We start from the raw sequence: 23,343 nt of genomic DNA, 5'->3' as shown, positions 1-23,343 counted from the left end.
TGGTGGGCAATGGAGTGATCTCAGCTCGTTGCAGCCTCCACTTCCTACGTTCAAGTCATTTTCCTGCCTCAGCCTCCCAAGTAGCTGGGTCAACAGGCACGTGCCACCACGCTCGGCTAATTTTTGTATTTTTGGTAGAGACAGGGTTTCACCATGTTGCCAGGCTGGTGTCGAACTCCTGACCTCAAATGATCTGCCCATCTTGGCCTCCCGAAGTGCTGGGATTACAAGCGTGAGCTACTGCTCCAGGCCCTACCTGGCTCCATCTATGTCCCCAAACCCTCATCCCTGGACACTTCCTGCCGCTCACTTTACACAGCCTAAGAGGGACATACACATACCACACAGGCCCTCATCTCCATGCTGCTGCTCACGCTGACCTCGGCTGGGAAGGGCTTCCCTTCGCTAATGCTCACATCCTCAAACAACTCAGAAAACCTGTCCATACCTTCCTAGTCGACTCTCCTGCCTGGATCCCGCACTCCTCCTCAGGGATCCCGTTATACATTCTCATTTACTCCGCGAGGATCATTTTATGAGCTCCTGTTTCTAACCTTGTGGAGGGCAGGGACTAGATTCCTACTCATCTTTATGCTCCTTGGGCCTCTGCCTAGCAGACACACTAGATACTTAATAAAGTTTAGCTAAACTGAGGCCTATAGGAGGGGCACTGTTATTCCTTACCTCTAATAAGGAACAGGAAGCTCAGAATGAGGTTACGTGGCTTTAAAAGTCACCCAAGGAAAAGTCTAGGGGGAAACCTAGAATGCAAAAGCACACCAGCTAAAATAAGTCTTCTTGACAGCAGAAGGCCTCTCAGAGCTAAGCATGGTGGGAACAGGGAACATGTCTATGTTTTTCCTCTGTTACCCTAAGCCTGACAAAGTGTTACACAGTGCACAGCAAGTGCTTAGCAAACACAGGCTGGCTCACTGTGATTGTGGAGAGATCACTTTCATTTATAGACTATGTAAGAGTGGGTTTGCTTCTCTCCAGCAGATGGAGCTACAACCCTGGGTTATCTCCAGCTATGGTCTGGGAACCCTGAGAGAAGAACCAGCCTTTTCCATCCATCCCTTGCCATCTTCTTTTTGTCCTTTATCAGTCTCACATAGAAACAGCAACAACAGCCAGGTGCAGTGGTTCACGCCTGTAATCTCAGCACTTTGGGAGGCCGAGGCGGTCAGATCACTTGAGGTCAGGAGTTCAAAATCAGCCTGGCCAACATGGTGAAACCTCATCTCTACTAAAAAATACAAGTTAGCCAGGCGTGGTGGTGGGCGCCTGTGGTCCCAGTTACCCGGGAGGCTGAGGCAGGACAATCGCTTGAACCCAGGAGGCAGAGGTTGCAGTAAGCTGAGATCACACCACTGCACTCCAGCCTGAGCGAGAGTAAGACTCCATCTCAAAAAAAAAAAAAAGAAACAGCAACAACAAAATAACAGGATAAATGCTTTCCACAGACTATTCTGAATGGACATAGATCTTTATTTAAAAAATTTGTTCAATGCCCAATACACTTGCGTATCTTTTCCTCCCGGGACTTTAAAAAAATCTGGGATAATTTCACCTAACTTGATTTACCCAATCTATCAAGTGCTAATCAGTGTCTCCACCTTTATATACTCTTCATAGGTCCTTGTTATGAAAGTCATTTATAACCCCAAATGTTCATCATACTCATCTCTATGTATATGCTCATCTCTATGTATATGCCCTATGTCACTCAGGAAAACATTAGTTTACTAACCATCTCTCATTTAAAAACAAAACCCTTTGGGCCAGGCGTGGTGATTTACGCCTGTGGTCCCAGCACTTTGGGAGGCCTAGGCGGGCAGATCATCTGAGGTCAGGAGTTCGAGACCAGCCTGCCTAACATGGTGAGACCCCTCTCTACTAAAAAAAAAAAAAAAATACAAACATTAGCCAGGCGTGGTGGTGCGCGCCTGTAATCCCAGCTACTCATGAGGCTGAGGCATTGCTTGAACTCGGGAGGCAGAGGTTGGAGTGAGCTGAGATCACGCCACTGCACTCCAGCCTGGGCAATAAGAATGAAACTCCATCTAAAAAACAAAACAAAACAAAAAAACAACAAAAAACACCCCTTTTTAATATATTCTAACCATTGTCTTAAAGGATTTGAGTTTCTAAATAGAATATAAAGGAACAATTAAGGGCAAAATGTTCATAGGTGGTAATGTTAGTACCACCTATGAAAATAAAGCATAAAGTCCAAGCAAATTTCATCCTTCACTCAATTTATAATTTCATGGCATTCCCAGAAAACTTAGTGCTTATTGAAACTGTTGAAAAGTACTTCATGATGGTATCTTTTTTATTTTTATTTTGAGACAACATCTTGTTCTGTTGCCCAGGCTTGAGTGCCCAGGCAGTGGTATGATCTTGGCTCACTGCAACCTCTGCCTCCTGGATTCAAACAATCCTTCCACCTTAGCCTCCCAAGTAGCTGGGACTGCAGGCACATGCCACCACACCTAGCAAATTTTCATATTTTTAGTAGAAATGGGGTTTCAACATGTGGCCAGGCTGGTCTCGAACTCCTGGACTCAAGTGATCCACCGACCTTGGCCTCCCAAAGTGCTGGGATTACATGTGTGAGCCACTGCGCCCAGCCGATGATATCTGAAACAGATATCAACCTAAACCTGATGATGTCAACCTAAACACAGTTAGGTTCTATGTTCATCATTATACAAAGGTGTTTTTCTTTCTTACGTTTTTAACCAGCATCAAAGTCCTGTGGATGCATACTTCATGACATTCAGCATCTCTGGCCTCAGGCCATTTAGTGCCTATGGTACCCCTTTCCTGAAACCATCGAGATAAACTAAAAATGCTCCACAAGTTCCCACTTGCTCCTTAGGGAACAGTTTCAGATCTGCTGAGGACGACAGACCCAGAGGATTTCTGAGGCCATTAAGCATTAATGCTAGAAGTACTCACTGAAGTACCTAAGGGAACCGCTTGTCAGGGTTTGACTTAACTCATCAATATCACACAACATTGAATACTAGTAAAACTAAAGCACTGTAACTAAATTCATTTATCAACTTTACATTTTAATCAAAGAAGTCCCCAACTTGAAATATTTTCAAACTCTGACTATATCAAGAAAACAGTGTCATCATATAGCAAGTATTTTTTGTTTGTTTTTTTTTTTTTTGAGATGGAGTTTCACTCTTGTTGCCCAGGCTGGAGTCCAATGGCACAATCTTGGCTCACTGCAACCTCTGCCTCCTGGGTTCAAGCAATTCTCTTGCCTCAGCCTCCCTAGTAGCTGGGATTACAGGCATGCGCCACCACTCCCGAGTAATTTTGTATTTTTAGTAGCGATGGGGTTTCACCACGTTGGTCAGGCTGGTCTTGAACTCCTGACCTCAGGTGATCTGCCTGCCTCGGCCTCCCAAAGTGCTAGGATTACAGGCATGAGCCACCGTGCCCAGCCTATAGCAAGCCTCTTCTAAACATAATAACATCTAAGAAAGAGCCCTAAATAGCAGCACTTAGTCCTAAAAGCCCCTAAGCTCTGGGGGCCTTTCTGAGTTTGGGAAAGTTACTATAAAAGAAAAATCTGAGGAACAATACAATTTTAAAGAGTTTATTTGAGTAAGAAGCAATTCATGAATTGGGGAACACCAGACGAAAAAAGTTTTAGTGTCCCAATGACAAAAAGTCAGAGACAAGTATTTACTGGGAAACGTAGAAGCAAAATAAAGAAATTATTTGATTGATTTGAAATTACAGAATTGCCTTTTTTTAGGTACCTTGTTGGAAAGCCCCTAGTCACTTAGTCATATGTTAGTTGGCAGCTTACGACTGGCGGGGGTTAAGTTTTACTTCTAACATAAACATTTATCAAAATGACTCTACTTGTTCTGCTTATGTCTGCAATTTAAGCAAGGCTGAGGTAACATATAAGGCCTAACTGGTTTTGTGCGCTCAGAGATTTCACAGGCCTGGTCTTCATTTTAACTTCCTTTAACAATACTCATTCCAAAACCCACTCAGACCCAAACCTGCCTAAGGTAGGGAAGCAGAAGGAAGCACGTTACAAATTCCATGGCAATACGGTGAGAAGATTTCAGCAGCCCAGGGACACAAAAAGAGAGTAACAACCTTGGCAGAGGCCACGATGCTGGAGTGAGAGGGCCCTGATGGCAGAGCTGGAACCCCACAAGTAATTTAATGGGGAAGTGTTGTTCATACCCAAGTGTTCTTAAATTAAATGTGGTCTGCTTAGATACTCCAACTTATTACTTCATAACTGAATGAAAGCCCCATCCCCCTCCTGAAACTCTCTCTCCTCCATGCAAGGGACCACTATGAACACAATGGTTCTAGTCCAAGCGAGAAACCTGAGAGTCATCTTCAACAACTTAATCATCCTCACACACCTCCCAATGTCCAGCTGCAAAGTCCTTTCTTCTCTGCCTCTTAACTGTTTCTGAATCGATTTACTACTTTATATCTGTACAGGCTGCATCTACTTCTGGCACCATCACCTCCTATGTGGATTAATGCAACAGCCTTGTAACTGGCCTCTGAACATCCCTCTTTCCTAATCACTGTTCCCAAACCACCTCTTCTCTGAGCTACCGTAACACTGCCTTCTGGGTGGTCATGTCATCCACATGGGTACCCATGTCGTCCACTCTCTGTTTCAGGTAACAGATCTAGTTGTCCTGACCACCTAACAGTCACCTACCTTGATTGACTAGGCATGGTGCTTCTTCCTATCCTCTGGCCACAATGACTGGTCCTGGTCCATTTGGACTATGGACTTGAACTAAGTTAATCAGATACTATTTCTCAAAGACTAGAAATCTGAGTAGAGACTAACACCCTGCAGTTAGAGGAAGTCAACTCAGAGCACTGCTCTATAGAGACATCCCACAAGTTCTGCAGAGACACCGGGAAAGCCCTAGTTGTTTGCCCTTCTCAGAGACCTGTAAGTTCAGCCCATTCTTCAATTCTGGGAGCAACCCCAGTATTTTTCCAGTAAATTTCTTTGAAGCTTCTGTTTGCCTGAGTCTATTCCTGTTGTTGATAATCAAGGAAACTACAGTGCCAGTAAAAACGGACCTGGCTGTCCTTGCTCCCACCCGGCATCCCCCAGCTCCAGCCCTCACTGCACAGGCTGCAGCCCTGCGGATCTGCCTGTCACATCTCAACAGCCCTCCTGGCCTGGTGCCTCTTGCCTTCCTCCCTAAACTCTTCTTGGGATGATTCCCATTCACACTCGGACTCAGTCAAGAGGTCGCTTCCTCTGGGAAGTTCTCCGGAAGGCCCTCTTGCTCCACAGGAATTTGCCTGTGTCCTTTAGTCTGACCTCAAGTTACAAGTGATGATTCCTGTTCACAGCTGTGCCCCATGCCAGTCATGCCTGGCAGAGGGCAGGCTCGCTGTGAATACTGTCAAACAAATGAGCAAATGAGGAAATCAGAAACACTTCAAATGAGTATTCAGGGAAGTGTAACACAAGTTTAAAAATAAATGTATTTCTCTGGAATCAAGAGACTCTAGGCATCCAATATTAAATTCATTGTATTTTAATATTAATTCATAGTCCAAATCATTTGACCATGCTTTTGCTTTGTGAAAATTCCTAAGTTGTGCACTTAAGATTTTTGCACTCTTGTGTATTACATATTAATAAAATTTTTAAAAACACATTTAACATCACTGAAAACCATAGATACAGACTAGTAATAAGTTCATATGCTTGGAAACATTATATAGTGGTAGAAGGTACACTGAGTACAAGTAAAATTATAGTCTTAATCATGCCACTTACTATAAGAGCTGTGACATCTTGGTTCGATAAAAATTCTTTATATTCAGCTTTAATATCCATAAAATAACATAATTACCATTTTGTCCAAATCTCAGGGCTACAGAATAGATTTTTTAAAATTATAAAGGTGAAAATTCAAATATAAGTTGTTTTTGTTACAAAATTTGGAATCATCTCAAAATGAATGTTAGTTAAACCAGTCAAAAAAAATTGGACTTTGGAAAACACAACACTTTGGCATGAAACTGCCTACAAAATCCCATGAATGCATACCAAAAAGTGATATAGGATAATGAATCCAGGATGCTAACCTGAAATTTAAGACTAAATTTATTCTTGAGGAACAAAAAAATGATATCCCTACATCATCATTTTTCTTTGTAAACTAGATTTAAAAATTATTTACATTTCATGACCAGGAGCAATGGCTCACGCCTGTAATCCCAGCACTTTGGGAGGCTGAGGCAGACAGATCACGAGGTCAGGAGATTGAGACCATCCTGGCTAACACAGTGAAACCCCATCTCTACTAAAAATACAAAAAAATTAGCCAGGCGTGGTGGTGGGCACCTGTAGTCCCAGCTACTTGGGAGGCTGAGGCAGGAGAATGGCGTGAACCTGGGAGGTGGAGCTTGCAGTGAGCTGAGATCGTGCCACTGCATTCTAGCCTGGGCCACAGTGAGAGACTCCGTCTCCAAAAAAAAAAAAAAAAAAAAAAATTATTTACATTCCATGAACTAAGACAAACATTTCTTAAGCTTATGATAACGGAAATGCTTTTAAGAGTTCAGCTAAGGCATTAACCTTCTGGCTGCAGTAATCTCAGAGAAGGGGGTGGAGGAAAGTGCAGATATTCCTTATTTCATATGGTGGAGATATTATAACATTTAAAACTACTTCAAAATAAGTGCTTGCATTTAAAGAGAGTATAACAAAATATGAAAGGATGTAGAGATTAAAAATATATGAAACACATCTTTACATATACACATGCTAATAAGCTCTTAAAAATAATTGAATGATAAAATGAACCATAATTAGAAATGGTGACTAACAGGCAATTTTATTGTATACCTCTCTATAGTATCAAAACATACAGGCTGGGCGCGGTGGCTCATGCCTGTAATCCCAGCACTTTGGGAGGCCAAGGCGGGTGGATCACGAGGTCAGGAGTTCGAGACCAGCCTGGCCAAGATGGTGAAACCCCATCTCTACTAAAAAATACAAAAATTAGCCAGGCGCAGTGGCGGACATCTATAATCCCAGCTACTCGGGAGGCTGAGGCAGGAGAATCACTTGAACCTGGGAGGTGAAGGTTGCAGTGAGCCGAGACTGTGCCACTGCACTCTAGATCGGGCGACAGAACAAGACAAGACTCCGTCTCAAAAAACAAAACAAAACAAAACAAAACATACAATCTCAGAATAGCATTTAACAGTCACACGGTAAGAGGAGAGAACAGATGGGCAAGACTTTATTTCTCAGAAAAAATAGATTTTCATTTTTTAACTGCTGAGCCAAAATACTTTATTAAGTTCCCAGAAATGCTAAACAGCTTTGTAAGAACATCTGAAGCACCTTTTTTCTCTCTCTCTTAAAAAATAAAGTACTACAATATAGATTCATGTTTGTTAAGAATGTAAAATACATTTTAAGAATGTAAAAACATTTAGTTATTGTAAAAATTAACTTTTGAGCAAATGCAAGTGTTAACCTACCCTTACCCACTCTGTACCATTAAAATAGGGGTAAGTAGAAAACAAATACATACACATTGAAAACTTCCATTTTCATTTCAGTGAATATTTACCCAATGACTACCATATCACTAACTGCTATAGGTACGGGGCACATAAGGATAACTAAGGCAGAGCCCGGAGTAACTTCCTAGACTGCGATGTACACACAAAACATATTGCAATATTCTGTCGTGACACAGCAGAGGCAGCATCTGCAAAGCGCTGCGAAATGCAGCAGCAGCAAGAAAGGCCTAGGCCTTACCGGGTTCATCACGGAAGTGAGTCTGTATTAGCTGTGGTTCACGAAGTGGGAGAGGGAAAGGGAATTCTCAGGGAGTAACTTGAAAGAGCACTGACTTAACAGTGTGTCAGGCACTGTGCTAGCTTCTCAGGCAACAGCAATAAGACTCAGTTAACTAGTTTCAAATGAGCTTATAGTTCAAGGGAGACACAAGAAAAGGTCAATCATAAAACATGTTGAGTGCACTCACAGTTCTGAGAGATCGTACTGTTTTCTGGAAGTTTAAAACCCATTTTCAAGGAATTTGGACATACTAGTGAAAATCAAACAATGGTATAAGGAAATGTGAAGCTGTGGCAGCCATGAGCATCCCTGTTTGGGATGGCCAGAAACTCCTGTTGGCACGTTCCCTCCTACCTCAGGGAGTTCTCCCTGTCCTTGAATCCTGATTGCTCTGTACCTCTTTTTAGGATATTTACCAAATGTTGCCATGTATCAAGATAAATCTGAGACTTATTTACTCTTCCCTACTAGATTATAACCTCTGAGACTGGGAACTTTGTCCCTTAGCTTCTTAGCCACTGTAATGTGAGGCATAAGGCTCACTCTAAAGGGCACTTTAACTTGTGGCCAGGCACGGTGGCTCACACCTGTAATCCCAGCAGTCTGGGAGGCCAAGGCAGGCAGATCATGAGGTCAGGAGTTTGAGACCAGCCTGGCCAATATGGTGAAACTCTGTCTCTACTAAAAATACAAAAATTAGCCAGGTGTGGTGGCACGTGCTTGTAATCCCAGCTACTCGGGAGGCTGAGGCAGAAGAATCGCTTGAACCCGGGAGGCAGAGGTCGCAGTGAGCCAAGATCATGCCACTGCACTCCAGCCTGGGTGAGAGGGCGAGACTCCATCTCAAAAAGAAAAACAACTTGTTAGCCAATGAGGTGCATGCCTGTAATTCCAGCTACTCAGAAGGCTGAGGCAGGAGGATTGCTTGAGCCCAGGATCAAGACCAGCCTGGGCAATACAGACCCTGTCTCAACAAAACAAAACAAAACAAAACAAAACTTGCTTAGTTGACCCATAACTGGTACTGACCCAGTATGACAAGTTCTATTCTATTCCTTTTGCAGGAATGAATAAAACCTATTAGCTCTCGTTCAGTCAAGGTGATGATCTTAAAGACTTCAAAAGTTATTTTCACATACATAAATACTAAAACCTTATCAAGAACAGTACTAAAATGAGTAGGAAAACCCAGTAACTGCTAAGTCTCTGTCACTACTTCCAGACTAACACTGACATGAAGACCAGGCCTTTCCCCACTCCCAGGTATAGAAAGACTTCAAATCCTGGCCCCAGGTGCCTGCTTCCTGATCAGGTGCAAGCACACGTGCCTATTAATATTATCTTGCTGCTTTTTTCTGTCCTGTTGGCAACCTCTTGGTTTGGTTTTGGCTACAAAATAAAAAATGCTGTATCACATGCCATCCAAACAGCCAAAATGAATAATACCACACACACACAAACGCACAAAAGGAGAAAGACTAAACAACCCTGATGACTCAGGATTGATTTCTGCAATAGTTATAACAAATCAAAACATAAAATACTTTAAAGAATAAAAATAAACGATGCCTAAAAGGAAGCTGGAGAACAAGAGGTGGGCTGCAGCAAACCCTGCAACTCTAACATCAGTGTTCACCCAGACCACTTAGCCCAATAGCCTGACTGTGACTAAGTGGTGACAAATGCAGGAATTTGGAGTAAGAAAATGCACCAGAGCAAAAGGGCCTCCACATTAAATTTCAAGAAGAATGTTCTCTGATGAAAGAGAAAGAGCTAGAAACATCTGGATGGCTAACACGCTTTAAACAAAGAAGTAACAGCACCTGCTAGGCTGCAGCTCTGTGAGCCGTAAGGGCAGCAAATCTCTACTATTTCAGCTAACTGAGAGGACTCAGGTTTCACAGCCATCAACACCACGTTGGCTAACTCTTTTGCATTTTTTTGAAGAATGATTAGCTCACATTCTAACGAGCATATAACTATGTTTGTAAGAGGATCAAAAACCATATAACCCCAAGCTGAAAAACCCCACCTCCATCCTCCCCAACCTTGGAGGGGAAGTTACAAATGATTAAACAAACTAGCTAGGAAAAAAAAAGGGTGAGAGAAGTTATTTGTAAGATTGAGAACCCCAAGAGTGTTGAGGCGTGTTACTAAGAAATATAACCTACAATGAGAAACAGCAGGTAATACTTCAAAAGAAGAGTATCCTGCCAAATTTCAAAGGACACTTATATGAATTATTAAATTTCAACCTAAAAAATAGCAAGGCACGGTAAAAATCAAAATGATATTTAGTTAGTCCCCAACCCAATGACCAAAAATCTGAAGTAGGATCTATATTAAGTTTCCAACCCTGGAACACATTTTCCATAAAACCATATAGTAAATTCCATAAAAATAAAACCATGACCAATCTCCAAAAGCTTCCTTCACCAAAAAAACGTAGCTGAAAAAGGAGATGGGGTAGCAGCAATCAGGGACAGGAAAACCAAAGAGTTTGCTTCAGGTCTTTACTCTGGTTTACCGGGAATGATGACCTTGGACAAATTATTTAACATCTGTGAGCTTCACATTTCTCATCTGTAAAACAGGTATAGTAATACCTGCCTACCAATTTTATGTAGTGCACAAGCTCAAATGAGACTAGAATACTTACTAGTTATAAACAGTCATCATCCCTACTCCTCCTCCTCTCTAACCCAATTGAAGGCTGGTGGAGGAGGTGAGAGAGCACAGAAGCAGTGGGAGGTTTGGGAGCCATGACCTCGAGTGAAAGGTTTGGGTCAGAGCTCTCGGAGTTTGCAGAAGGTAAGTCTTGGGCAGTGGAGAGCAGCCAGATGAGAAAAAAGCCCCAGCAAATGCTGCTGTCAAATACAAGGAGAGCTGTCTCTAAGCACCAGGTCATTCATAAGCAGGGAATAACCTACACATCCTTAACTTCAAAGTGCTTAAACAAAAGCAATGCCTTTTTCCCAAAGCTTTAATCTCTTCTTTTTTGAAAGCCCCTTCCCTGATCTTGTCTAGCTTTTCATGTCCCCTAGAGAAATTTCATCCACTTAAAAATGGAAACTCCATTACAAAACTCATGTACTTCATACCCTTAGGAAAAAGATACTTAAAGCCTTGAAAAATATCCAGACCTAATCATCAAAAGCAAAATCCACACATAAATTCCACCTTCCCATTCCCAGACTGATTTCCACTTTTTTTTGGTGGGGGGGAGGGGGGATTCAGGCATCTTTTAAACCAAGAACATGGAGAGTGAGTAAAGACTATAAAGCATACATTTATTATCAGCCATTCCCTAGCTGAATGGCATGAGAAGAGTCCCTAACCTCAGTGAGTTCCTCAAAACTGCAGGACCTCACCTCTGCTGCTCCAAGTCTTCTCTTCCTCAGCCTGATCTTGGCCCAAGGTCACCTCAGAGAAGACTTCCAAGATCAACTGACTTCAATGTGTAATCGTTGCCTACTGTCCCCTACACCCTTCTCTAGCTCATTCCTCCATACTGTTCATCACCATCTGATACACTATACGCTTTATTTGTTTATGATGTGTCTCTACCATCCCCAACAAGGACATGAGCACCATGAAGACAGAGAGTTCTGTCTGCTCTGCTTTCTGCTGTATCCCTAGAGCCAAGCATACACCTGGTCTCTACCAGGCACGCAGCAATATTTGTTAAATAACACATGATTACAAGTGAGGTAATTCATCCCTGCAGTGGGGCTAATACCACTTACTTTGCAGGGTTGTTTTGAGGATCACCTAGAAATAAAAAATAAAAATGCTTTTCCCATCAGCTGGTGTATCGTTAAGTATTCAAGAGCAACTGTTAGTTTCCTTTCATTTCTTACGCCAAAATAACTGGCTAAAAGCTGCAGAACATTCCAAGTGGGAAACTCTAAAAGCATGGCCAAAAGATCACTGTACCCAGTAGAAAAAAAAAAAAAAGAAAAGAAAAGAAAACGGGAGAAGCAGGACTGCTGATCAGTATTGCTCAGTGTGGCCCATGAATCACAAAATGTTGTAATCACTCTGCAATAAAATAAGTGCAGAAATTGAGAGTAAGTATTTAGAAACTTACCAATGTGACATAGAAATTTTACATCTGCTGAATATAAAGAGAAACAACTGGGACTTGCATTCATATGACCTTTTTTATTTTTCTAGCATCCCATTTTAATTGTCTTTTACAGAAGTGTCACTTAACAATAGACTAGAAAGTATTTTTTAAAATCCTTATTCTTCACCAGTTTGGGAAGCACCGACAAGCATACACTCAGTCTGATGTGGCCCAGGAAGCTGCGGAACAGCAACAAAGCTAACACACAATACAAGTTTACTACTGCAATTTATGTGGGTTCTAGGACAAGAGAGACCTGGATGACAGAAGGGTGGGGAGGCAGGTTCAGCGGCCAGTTCCAGAATGTTAGAGAATTCTCTAAGACAGTGTTTCTCAAAATGTTTTCCTACACTTCCAAGACCACCCGACTTCAAAGTGTAATCGTTGCCTACCGTCCCCTACACCTTTCTGTAGCTTATTCCTCCTATACACATCAAGAGCAAAAGAGTCAGGCCGGGCGTAGTGGCTCATGCATGTAATCCCAGCACTTTGGGAGGCCGAGGCGGGTGGAACACAAGGTCAGGAGTTCGAGACCCACCTGGCCAACATAGTGAAACCCTGTCTGTACTAAAAATACAAAAAATTAGCTGGGTGGGGTAATCCTCCTGCCTGTAATCCCAGATACTCAGGAGGCTGAGGCAGGAGAATCACATGAATCTGGGAGGCAGAGGTTGCAGTGAGCTGAGACTGCGCCACTGCACTCCAGCCTGGGCAATAGAGCAAGACTCTGCCTCAAAAAAAAAAAAAAAAAAAAGCAAGAGTCCCAGAGACCAAGGGAGAGAAGGATTACAAAGGGTTATGCTCATTTTCTTGACTGTGGTAACAACCTCATGGGTCAGAACTTATATTGTAAAATTGAATACAAGTAGCTTATTGTATGTAAGTTGTATTTCAGTGAAGGGAAGTTTAAGTAAGGGAGAGAACAGTAAGACACAACAGAAATGTACACAAAGTCAGGATTAGGATATAAATTCCATGATAAAAAAAAAAGCCCAGTCCCTCAAATCCTCTTTCAAAATAACTTTTCTAGTGGCTTTATAATAGGCCACTCATGACACAACCAGTATTTAGACATAAGCTCAACATGCATTCATGTATATTATTACAGTTTTGGCATTGCTACACTAAATGCATATTTTCCAACAGAACATCCCCTTACCCATCCTTTTTAAAATATAAGGGCCCATGGTTCCTGGCTTAGAGACAGCTGTTGTCAGGTCCAGTTGAGCTCTGGAAGAGCAGCTGGGGCTCAATGAGACACATTTGAAGACAGTTTCTCAGGTGCCTGTCCCTACATTGAACAGTTTTCCTCAATAGCATTAAGCCCATGTCCCCATCTGTATTTTCTTATCATACAGAATTATGTGCTAAATTGTCAGAAACTGAAAAGTGATAGTCTTCAACGAAAGAAAAGATTAAACGTTTAAGATTCACTGTCTAAAACACTCATTCCTACTTCTATCACAGCATTAGTAAGCTTTTGTACTATTCATAAAACAGACTGCCTTGTTCACAATAAAATGCTATTCCAATGTAAGGTATTACAACATTTTTTAAGGCTATTTATTGTCCCACCTTAGATGAGTAACAGGATTCCGTGCAATTATGTACGCCAATGTTTATTTTCAAAGAGGTATATTTCCTGTTTATAAATAGCTCAAGGAGAATGTCCAGCACACTGGGAACAGTAGTGGACTGTGGCTCAAAACATCCACGATCACTGTTCACACTAACATGACTAACAGAGTCATTTTCATGGAGCCTCTTGCTATTTACATGTCAGATGCAATGTGTGGAAGACTCACACCTGTAAAGTTTACATAATCTTTAGCTCTCAATTTCTCCACCCTTAAAAAGATCTTCCTTCTCCCTCCAGATAACCTCAAATGGTTATCTAGAAAGACAACCTTATATCTTATGATTACTACTATTACCACTGGTATCATAAATATTTACCATTATTTATAAACACTCTGTCTTCTCTACTGCACTCTAAGCTTCTTGAGGGAAGGGTGCATAATATTTACATCCCTCCCAATAAACAGTATACGTAATAATATCTGATGCAGAAAGGAAAGGAAATAAAGATACAAATAAGATTTCTGTAACTGATTAATGCCCAGAGATTTTAAAAGAAGATTCAGACATTTGAAATGTTTTTAGCAACTTTGAGAAATGTTACCACATTAGACCAAAAGCTATGTTATTTTTCTTCAGTTAGCTATTAAGAGCTCCCAGAGGCTGGGATTAGCTAGCTGACGGCTAACACTTAGGGGATGGAGGAGCGGTCTTGGCCTCCCTTTCCCCTCCAGGGCAGGACTGCAGAGCCAGTACCTTCAGTCTGGTCTTCCTCAAGGTCGCTGCTCACAACCACTCTCAGCACTGCGGACCTCCAGGGCTCTCCCTTGCTAACTCCTCCCGCTCTTCTCCACCGCCTCCCAGGATGGCCACGTTCCCTCTGAGATGCGGCCACTCCCTCTGTGAATCAGGCCATCACAGTATACAGGAGACAACCCCTTAGAGTTCAGCTTTTTTTATCTTCTGTTTGTTTGCTTGTGGGAGTTCAGACTCATTAGTTTGGCATTAAAAAGGTTTCCTCCCCCACGACCAACCTGCCAGCAACTTCTGGATTCCAGAAAACCCTGGGTTTCTGGAAAGCTGGTCTCTTCATAGCCAAAGAGAATATAGTATTACTTTATTTTTTTGAGATGGAGTCTTGCTCTGCTGCCCAGGCTGGAATGCAGTGGTGAGATCTCGGCTCACTGCAACCTCCACCTCCTGGGTTCAAGAGATTCTCCTACTTCAGCCACCCGAGTAGCTGGGATTACAGGCACGCGCCACCATGCTGGCTAATGTTTGTATTTTTAATAGAGATGGGGTTTCACCATGTTGACCAGACTGGTCTTGAACTCCTAACCTCAAGTGATCTGTCCGCCTTGGCCTCCCAAAGTGCTGGGATTACAGGCGTGAGCCACCATTCCCGGCCTAGTATTACTATAATGTCTTGATTTCCTTTCCCCATACAAACAAATATTAATAATAAACTCCTCTATATCTGTCAAATAAGTTCTCCATAATTCCTGTAAATATATTATCCTATCAAAGATTTTTGTATACTTTTCTCCATTTATGTAGTGGCAAACAAGCTAAAAAATACTTTTGCATTATTTTTCTCCCAAAATAAATATCCCTTCTCTTCACTCTCCCTCCTCTACCCTTAAAAAACAGCATGATGGCTGAGCACAGTGGCTCATGTCTGTAATCCCAGCACTTTGGGAGGCCAAGGTGGGAGGATCACCTGAGGCCAGGAGTTCAAGATCAGCCTGGGCAACATAGCAAGACCTCATCACTAAAAAAAAAAAAAAAAAAAGCCAGATATGGCGGTGAGTGTTTGTAATGCTATAATAGCTACTTGGCAGGCTAAGGTAGGAGGATTCCTTGAGCCTAGGTGTTCATGCCATAGTGAAGTAGGATTATACCACTGCACTTCAGCATGGATGACACAGAGAGACCCTGTCTCAAAAACAACAAACAACAAAAACCTCAGCAAGATGGGAAAGAACAGTTTCTTCAACAAATGATGCTAGGAAAACCGGACATCCACATTCAAAAGAATGAATTATATACAAAAATTAACTCAAAATGGACTAAAAACCTAAACATAAGTCCCCAAAGTATAAAACTCCTAGAAGAAAATACAAGGAGAAAGGCATGACATTGGACTAGGCAACGGTTTCCCAATCCAAAACTAAAAGCACAGGCAACAAAAGCAAAAACAGACAAATGGAACTATATCAAACTTTAAAACTTTTGTGCATCAAAGGACCCAATCAGAGTGAAAAGGCAAAATATGAAACAGGAGAAAATATTTGCAAATCATGAATGGATGAGGCTTTAATATCCAGAATATATGAAGAACTGCTGTACCTGAAGAACAACAACACGGCCAGGTGCGGTGGCTCACGCCTGTAATCCCAGCACTTTGGGAGGATGAGGTAGGCAGATCATGAGGTCAAGAGTTCGAGACCAGCCTGGCCAACACAGTGAAACCCCATCTCTACTAAAAATGCAAAAAATTGGCTGGGCATGGTGGTGCGTGCCTGTAGTCTCAGCTTCCCGGGAGGCTGAGGCAGGAGAATCGCTGGAACCTGGGAGGCGGAGGTTGCAGTGAGCTGAGATTGTGCCACTGCACTCTAACCTGGGCAACAGAGTGAGACTCCATCTCAAAAAAAAAGAACAACGCCAAAAAAAATCAAATAGCCTGGTTACAACATGGGCAAAGAATTTAACAGACTTTTTTCCAAAGATGACATACAAATAGCTAACAAGCATATAAAAAGGTGTTCAACATCACTGATCATCAGAAATGCAAATCAAAATCACAATGAAACATCACCTCACACCCATTACAATGGCTACTATTAAAACAAAACAAAACAACAAAGAATAACAAATGTAGGTGGGGATGTGGAGAAATTGGAACCTTTGTGTGTTGTTGGTGTAAAATGGTGTGGGTATTATGGAAAACAGTAAGGTGGTTCTTCAAAAACTAAAAATAGAACTACCATTTGATCCAGCAATCCTACTTCTGAGTAAATATCCAGAACAATCTAAAGCAGGGTATTGAAGAGGTATTTGTAACCCATGTTCATAGTAGCACTATTCACAATAGCCAAAATGTGGAAGAACTCAAGTGCCCACTAACAGATTAATAGATAAATAAAATGTGGTATACATAACAGTAGAATACTATGAACCCGAAGGAAATCTTGTTATAAGCTACAACATGGATGAAGCTTGAGGACATTATGTGAAGTGAAATAGAAAGCCAGTCACAAAAGAACAAATATTGCATGATTCCACCTATAGGAGGTATCTAAAGTATAGGAAATCTTCAATATTAACAATTGGTTCTCAGAAACTATGACTTTAAGTGAAGGGACATATAATGAAACCAATTTTTCTGCAGGCTAATTGATACAAACAAGAGTTAAGTTCCTATGGCATATTTCTGGTCACAAAAATATCACCAAACTTCGAAATACCCAAAACACTTCTAATATTAAGCACTGAAATAAATACGAGTTATACAGACATTTAAGACAGATGAATAAAAATAACCATTTACCCAATTTTTGGTGAATCAGTGAGTGACAGAGGTCAAAATGGTGGTTAAATCAATGAATCAATGTTTGCAAAGTGAAAATTGCAAGTAGCACCTCCTGCCACCACGTTATTTGGAAACAAACAAGAACATAGGGCAGGCTGGGTGAGGTGGCTCACGCCTGTAATCCTAGCATTTTGGGAGGCCAAGGTGGGAGGATCATTTGAGGTCAGGAGTTCAAAACCAGCCTGAACGGCATGGAGAAACCCCGCCTCTACTAAAAATACAAAAATTAGCCAGGCATGGTGACGCATGCCTGTAATTCCAGCTACTTGGGAGGCTGAAGCAGGAGAATCGCTTGAACCCAGGAAGCAGAGGTTGTAGTAAGCCAAGATCACGACATTGCACTCCAGCCTGGATGACAGAGCGAGACTCCATCTCAAAAAACAAAAAACAAGCAAAGAAAAGGAAAACAGGGCATCTTCATTGAGTGCTTTTGTACCACATCGTTTACTGTCGTGTTTTATTGATCATCATTTATTGTATGATGATCATATACTTTACAAATTTTTATTTTACAATAATGTGTGTCCATTTATTCATTCATTTTCCACCCTGCTTATTCTAGTTCAGGGTTGCAGGTGGCTGGAGCCTATCCCAGCAGCTCAGGGAGCAAGATGGGAACCAACCCTGGACGAGACTCCATCCCGTCACAGGGCATACAGCCACACCCACTCACACTGCGACGATTTTAACATCAATTAACCTAACATGTACATCTTTGGGATGCGGGAGGAAACTGTAGTACCAGGAGAAAACCCAAGCAGACATGGGAGAAACACGTAAACCCCACACAGACACTGGTCCCAACTGGGAATCAATTTTTTGTTCTCATCAACATTATAACAAAATCATGTTGAATAAAACAACATTATTTGAGAATCTGCTGTATTCAAATTTATAGACATTGAAAGTAGAACAGTGGTTGCCAGGAGCTGGGGATAAAGCAGGAGTTGCTATTCAATGGATATAGAGTTTCAGTTCTGCAAGATGAAAAAGTTCTGGAGAGCTATTTCACAACAATATAAACATACTTAACACCACTGAACTACACACTTAAAAAGTGTTACGATGGGCCAGGTGCAGTAGCTCACACCTGTAATCCCAGCACGTTGGAAGGCTGAGGCGGGAGCATCACCTGAGGTCAGGAGTTTGAGACCAGCCTGGCCAACATGGCGAAACCCCATCTCTACTAAAAATACAAAAATTAGCTGGGCATGGTGCTGGGCATCTGTAATCCCAGCTACTCGGGAGGCCGAGGCAGGAGAATCGCTTGAACCCAGGAGGCAGAGGTTGCAGTAAGCTGAGATCATGCCACTGCACTCCAGCCTGGGTGACAAGAGCGAAACTCCATCTCAAAAAAAAAAATGTTTAAGATGGTAAATTTTATGTTGGCATTTTACGACAACAGCAGCATGATACACTGGAAAGAGTAGGGTTTGGGTTTTACAGACTCAAATTTGAAACTCTAACAGCTCTGCCACCTACTGTGTGGCCCTGGGCAATTTACCCTCTGAGAATCAGTTTCCTCATCTATATAAATGAGGGTATAAATAATATATATCTTAAAAGTGATCTGAAGAGTAGATGAGAACTGCTGACATAGAAGACACTCACAGCTGGATTCCTTAATTCTTCTTCTGGGGATTGCATCAATGCATCACCCTCATCAAAGCAGCTTACATGAATTAAAGCCTTACTGAGTCTTGCACTGCTCTGCGTGATATGCCAGGAACCACATTTAATACTTGCAGAAAGGAAAGTAGGGAAGACTGTAATCCCCACTTTGCTGATGAGGAAAGCAAAGCAGAGAAGTGGCCTAACCTGCCCAGACAACACAGTAAGTGACGGAGCCTGCTTCATTTTACTTCACAGAGACATGAAACAGAGCTAGCAACACAGAAAATGAAACTGACAGCAAAACACAAAACTCAAAAAGGAGCTGCTATGGTGTGAATGTTTGTGTTCCCTCCAAAATTCATGTTGAAACTTAATCCCCAATGCAACAGTATTAAGTGAGGCCTTTAGGAGGTGATAGGCATGGAGGGCTCTGTGTCACAGATGAGAATAGTGCTTTGTGAAGGGCTGGTGGGAACTTCCACGTCCTTTTGTCACCTCCTGTCATGTGAAGCCACAGCCTTCAAGGTGCCATCCTGGAGAAGATGGCAGCCCTCACCAGACACTGAACCTGCTGGTGCCTTCATTTAGGACTTCCCAGCCTCGAAAACTGTGAAATGTAAGTTTCTGTTATTTAAAAATTACCCAGTCTGTGGTATTTTGTTATAGCAGCAGGAATGCACTAAGACAGGATCACAATATATAAAACAGACCATAAGGACTGTGTCTCAAAAGTCAATTAATGATCAGATAAGATTAAGGAAAACAATTTTATATTTAAAATTTACATTTCCAAAGAATGGTTTAAAAGGTCATGATTTCCCTGCTTACCTTTTAAACAAGTTCATTCCCTCCTTAAGCATTCACTTTAATATTCAGTTGTCTTTCAAGATAGAATTATAACTCTAATTCATAATGCAGTTTAAGTTACTTTATTTCTTACTCCAACTAAGATAGAAAAGAGTTACTTAACACCATCTATGATTAGTAGACGACTAAATTATGTGCCTCCCAAATTTTATTAGAGACCTTTGTGCTACCAAATTTTACAGTAGCCACTGTAATAAACTTCCCAGAAATTGTATCATCTTGGCTATGTCCTAACATGACAACATAGCTGTTAGCAACCTTTCCATACATTCCATTTAAAAAACTCTGTGGAACGAAGACGGTATCCAACTAAGGAAAAAGTTACCTCCTGGCTTTTAACAACAGCCATAAGTAACAAAGTTGAGTTGAGAGAATCAAGTATTCCAGAGGTCAACTCAGTTATGGAGCAGTTCTCAGTTTTGACAGAAACCGACTTGGAGAAAGCTCAGAGATTTTGTCCAGCACAAACACTTCCTGAACTATGGGTTTCTCTTAAAGAGCTAGGGGTTTCTCTTAAAGAGCTAGGGCAGAGCGCTGGCCCTTTCCTTCCCTGTAACCTTGGGGTACAGTGACTACAGTACAAAGTGCTTATTTTGGACGTTTATAATAGACAAGTTCCCTTAGGCTACACAGTGTTACCCACACCTTTTTTTTTTTTACAGTGTTGTCTTTCCCTCTTTGACAACCCCCATTCCAGCTTCAGCCCTAACATGACAACATAGCTGCAGCAATCTTACGTACCTTCCATTTCAAACATTCTTGTGGAACTTAATTGTATACTAAATCGTATGACGTGCCAAGCACTGAGCTAACGGGTTTATATAAGAGGCACAGCATAATGGTAAAAGCAACTGGGGAGTACAACTGAGTTTGAATTGTGCCATTAGACAGCCTTCAGACTTGAAGTGCAACACCGGCTCCTCCCTGGGTCTCAAGTGGATTGGGTCTCTGTGGATTTTAAACTTGCCAGCCTCCAAAATCCTGCAAGCCTATTCCTCAAAATAAGTCTATCTCTTTATCTATCTCTATACAGGCATACCTCGGAGCTACTAAGGGTTCAGTTTCAGACCACCACAATGGAGTGCGTATCACAATAAAGCGAGTCACAAGTTTTTTGGTTTCTCAGTGCATATAAAATTATGTTCACACTACACTGTAGTCTATTAAGTGTGCAAGAGCATTATGTCTAAAGTGTGCAAGAGTATTATGTCTAAAAAGAAGTACAGATCTTAATTTTAAAATACTTTATTGCTCAAAAATGCTAGCAATCATCTGAGCCTTCAGCGAGTCATTATCTTTTGCAGGGTCTTCCTTGATGTTGACAACTGCTGACTGATCAGGATGGTGGCTGCTGAAGCCTGGGGTGGCTGTGGCAATTGAAGAAAACCTCCTTGTGGCAAACAATGTTTCTTTCCTTTTCCTTTTTTTTTTTTTTTTTTTTTGAGACAGGGTCTTGGCCTGTCACCCAGGTGTGATCATAGCTCACTGTAGCCTTGAACTCCTGGACTTAAGCAATCCTTCCACCTCAGCCTCCCAAGTAGCTGGGATTATAGTGCACCACCACACCTGGCTAATTATTTTTATTTTTGTAGAGACAGGATCTCGCTGTATTGCCCAGGCACATCTCAAATTCCTGTGCTCAAGCAATCCTCCCACCTTGGCCTCCCAAAGTGCTGGATTTACAGGCATGAGCTATGCGCCTGGCCACTAGAACATTCGAAATTGAAGTCAATTCTCTCAAACCCTGCCATTGCTTTACTAAGTTTATGTATTATTCTAAATCCTTTGTTATCATTTCAATAATGTTCACAGGAAGTTCATCAGGAGTAGACTACATTTCAAGAAATCACTTTCTTTGTTCATCCATAAGAAGCAACCCCTCATCTGTTCAAGTTTTATCATGAAATTGCAATAATTCAAGTCACAACTTAAGACTCCACTTCTAATTCTAGTTATCTTGTGATTTCCACCACATCTGCAGTTACTTCTTCCACTGAAGTCTTGAGCCCCCGAAAGTCATCCATGAAGGCTGGAATCAACTTCTTCCAAACTCCTACTAATGTTGGTATTTTGACCACCTGCCATAAATCATGAATGTTCTTAATGGCAAGAAGAATGGTGAATCTTTTTCAGAAGGTTTTCATTTTACTTGCCCAGATCCATTAGAGGAATCACCATCTGCAGCAGCTATATAGCCTATGCAATTTATTTCTTAAATAATAAGAATGAAGTTACTCCTTGATCCCTGCGCTGCAGAATGGATGCTGTGTTAATAGGCATGGAAATAACATTAATCTCCTTACACATCTCTCCATCAGAGTTCTTAGGTGATCAGATGCATTGTCAATGAACAATGTTTTAAAAGGAATCCTTTTTTCTGAGCAGGTCTCAACAGTGGGCTTAAAATATTCAGGAAACCATGCTGCACACACATATGTGGTCATCCAGACTTCAGTGTTCCATTTATAGAGCAGAGGCAGAGTAGATTTAGCATAATTCTTAAGGGCTCTGGCTTTTTTGGAATAGTAAATGAGCACTGGCTTCAATTTAAAGTCACTAGGTACATTATCTCCTAACAAGAGAGTCAACCTGCCCTTTGAGGCTTTGAAACAGTGAAGCCAGGCATTCACTTCCCCTCTCCAGCCTTGAGTCCTAGATGGCATCTTCTCCCAACAGAAGGCTATTTTGTCTACACTGACAATCTGTTGTTTGGTGTAGCCACCTTCATTAATTATCTTAGCTAGATCTTCTGGATAACTTGGTGCACCTTCTACATCAGCACCTGCTGCTTCACCTTGCACTTTTATGTTTCGGAGATCTTTCCTCAAGCTTCATGAATGAACTTCTACTAACTTTCCAACTTTTCTTCTGCAGCTTCCTCACCTCTCTCCACCTTCATAGAATTGAAGAGTTAGGGCCTTGCTTTGGATTAGGTTTTGACTTAAGGGAATGTTGTGGCTGGTTTTATGTCCCATTCAAACCACTAAAACTTTCCCTGTATCAGCAATAAAGCTGTTTTGCTGTCTTATCATTTGTGTTTTCACTGGAGTAGCACTTTTTCAAGAACTTTTCCTTTGTATTCCCAACTTGGCTAACTGGTGCAAGAGGCTTAGCTTTCAGCCTGTCTTGGCTTTCAACATGCCTTCCTCACTAAGCTTACTTGTTTCTCGCTTTTGATTTAAAGTGAGAGATGTGTGATTCTTCCTTTCACTGTAACACTTAAAAGATTATTATAGGGTTATTAATTGGTCTAATTTCAATATTGTTGTGTCTCAGGGAATAGGGAGGCCCAAGGAGAGGGTGAGAGATCGGCAAATGGCCAGTAAGTATAGCAGTTAGAACACATACAACATTTATCAATTGAGTGTGATATCTTATTTGGGTGCATTTTTGTGGTATCTCAAAACAATTACAATGGTAACATAAAAGACTGCTGATCACTGGCCGGGCATGGTGGCTCATGCCTGTAATCCCAGCACTTCGGGAAGCCAAGGTGGGTGGATCACGAGGTCAAGAGATTGAGACCATTCTGGCCAACATGGTGAAACCCTGTCTCTACTACAAAGTACAAAAATTAGCTGGGCATGGTGGCATGAGCCTGTAGTCCCAGCTACTCAGGAGGCTGAGGCATGAGAGTTGCTTGAACCCGGGAGGCAGAGGTTGCAGTTGAGCCAAGATCACGCCACTGCACTCCAGCCTGGCAAC

General features: G+C 41.7%; 1 protein-coding gene across 7 annotated transcripts in view, besides 3 other annotated features; it reads right to left on the bottom strand.

The window, feature by feature from the left end:
* Window positions 1-23,343, bottom strand: part of LIMS1 (LIM zinc finger domain containing 1) — a 153,576-nt gene that overhangs the window by 102,125 nt on the left and 28,108 nt on the right. The window contains exon 1 of one of the 7 annotated variants that reach the window (NM_001371498.1): window positions 14,322-14,417. The exons of 5 other annotated variants lie outside the window; for them this stretch is intronic. Coding sequence is in view for 1 of the 2 variants with exons in the window: in NM_001371497.1 (NP_001358426.1) it covers window positions 4,727-4,743 (17 nt within the window). In the remaining variant the exon portion in view is untranslated. Of the gene's footprint in view, window positions 1-4,726; window positions 4,944-14,321; window positions 14,418-23,343 lie in introns of those variants that run through there. One more of the 7 variants, NM_001371497.1, reaches the window with a different exon arrangement.
* Window positions 9,066-10,022: an enhancer, noted in NCBI's record as "OCT4-NANOG-H3K27ac hESC enhancer chr2:109191556-109192512 (GRCh37/hg19 assembly coordinates)". NCBI's record gives its function as "activates a minimal SCP1, AML or CMV promoter by ChIP-STARR-seq in primed H9 embryonic stem cells {active_cell/tissue: H9 hESC(primed)}" and the evidence as "EXISTENCE:reporter gene assay evidence [ECO:0000049][PMID:30033119]".
* Window positions 9,535-9,829: a silencer, noted in NCBI's record as "tiled region #1013; HepG2 Repressive non-DNase unmatched - State 10:DNaseD, and K562 Repressive non-DNase unmatched - State 23:Low". NCBI's record gives its function as "represses a minimal TATA promoter and a strong SV40 promoter by Sharpr-MPRA in HepG2 and K562 cells {active_cell/tissue: HepG2 | K562}" and the evidence as "EXISTENCE:reporter gene assay evidence [ECO:0000049][PMID:27701403]".
* Window positions 19,056-19,145: an enhancer, noted in NCBI's record as "active region_16344". NCBI's record gives its function as "activates an Ori minimal core promoter by ATAC-STARR-seq in GM12878 lymphoblastoid cells {active_cell/tissue: GM12878}" and the evidence as "EXISTENCE:reporter gene assay evidence [ECO:0000049][PMID:35858748]".

This window comes from Homo sapiens, chromosome 2, assembly GCF_000001405.40.
Source record: "Homo sapiens chromosome 2, GRCh38.p14 Primary Assembly".
Classification (NCBI taxonomy): Eukaryota; Metazoa; Chordata; class Mammalia; order Primates; family Hominidae; genus Homo; species Homo sapiens.
The sequence above is the reverse complement of the archived record's forward strand: the minus strand, read 5'-3'. Positions and strand labels throughout refer to the sequence as shown.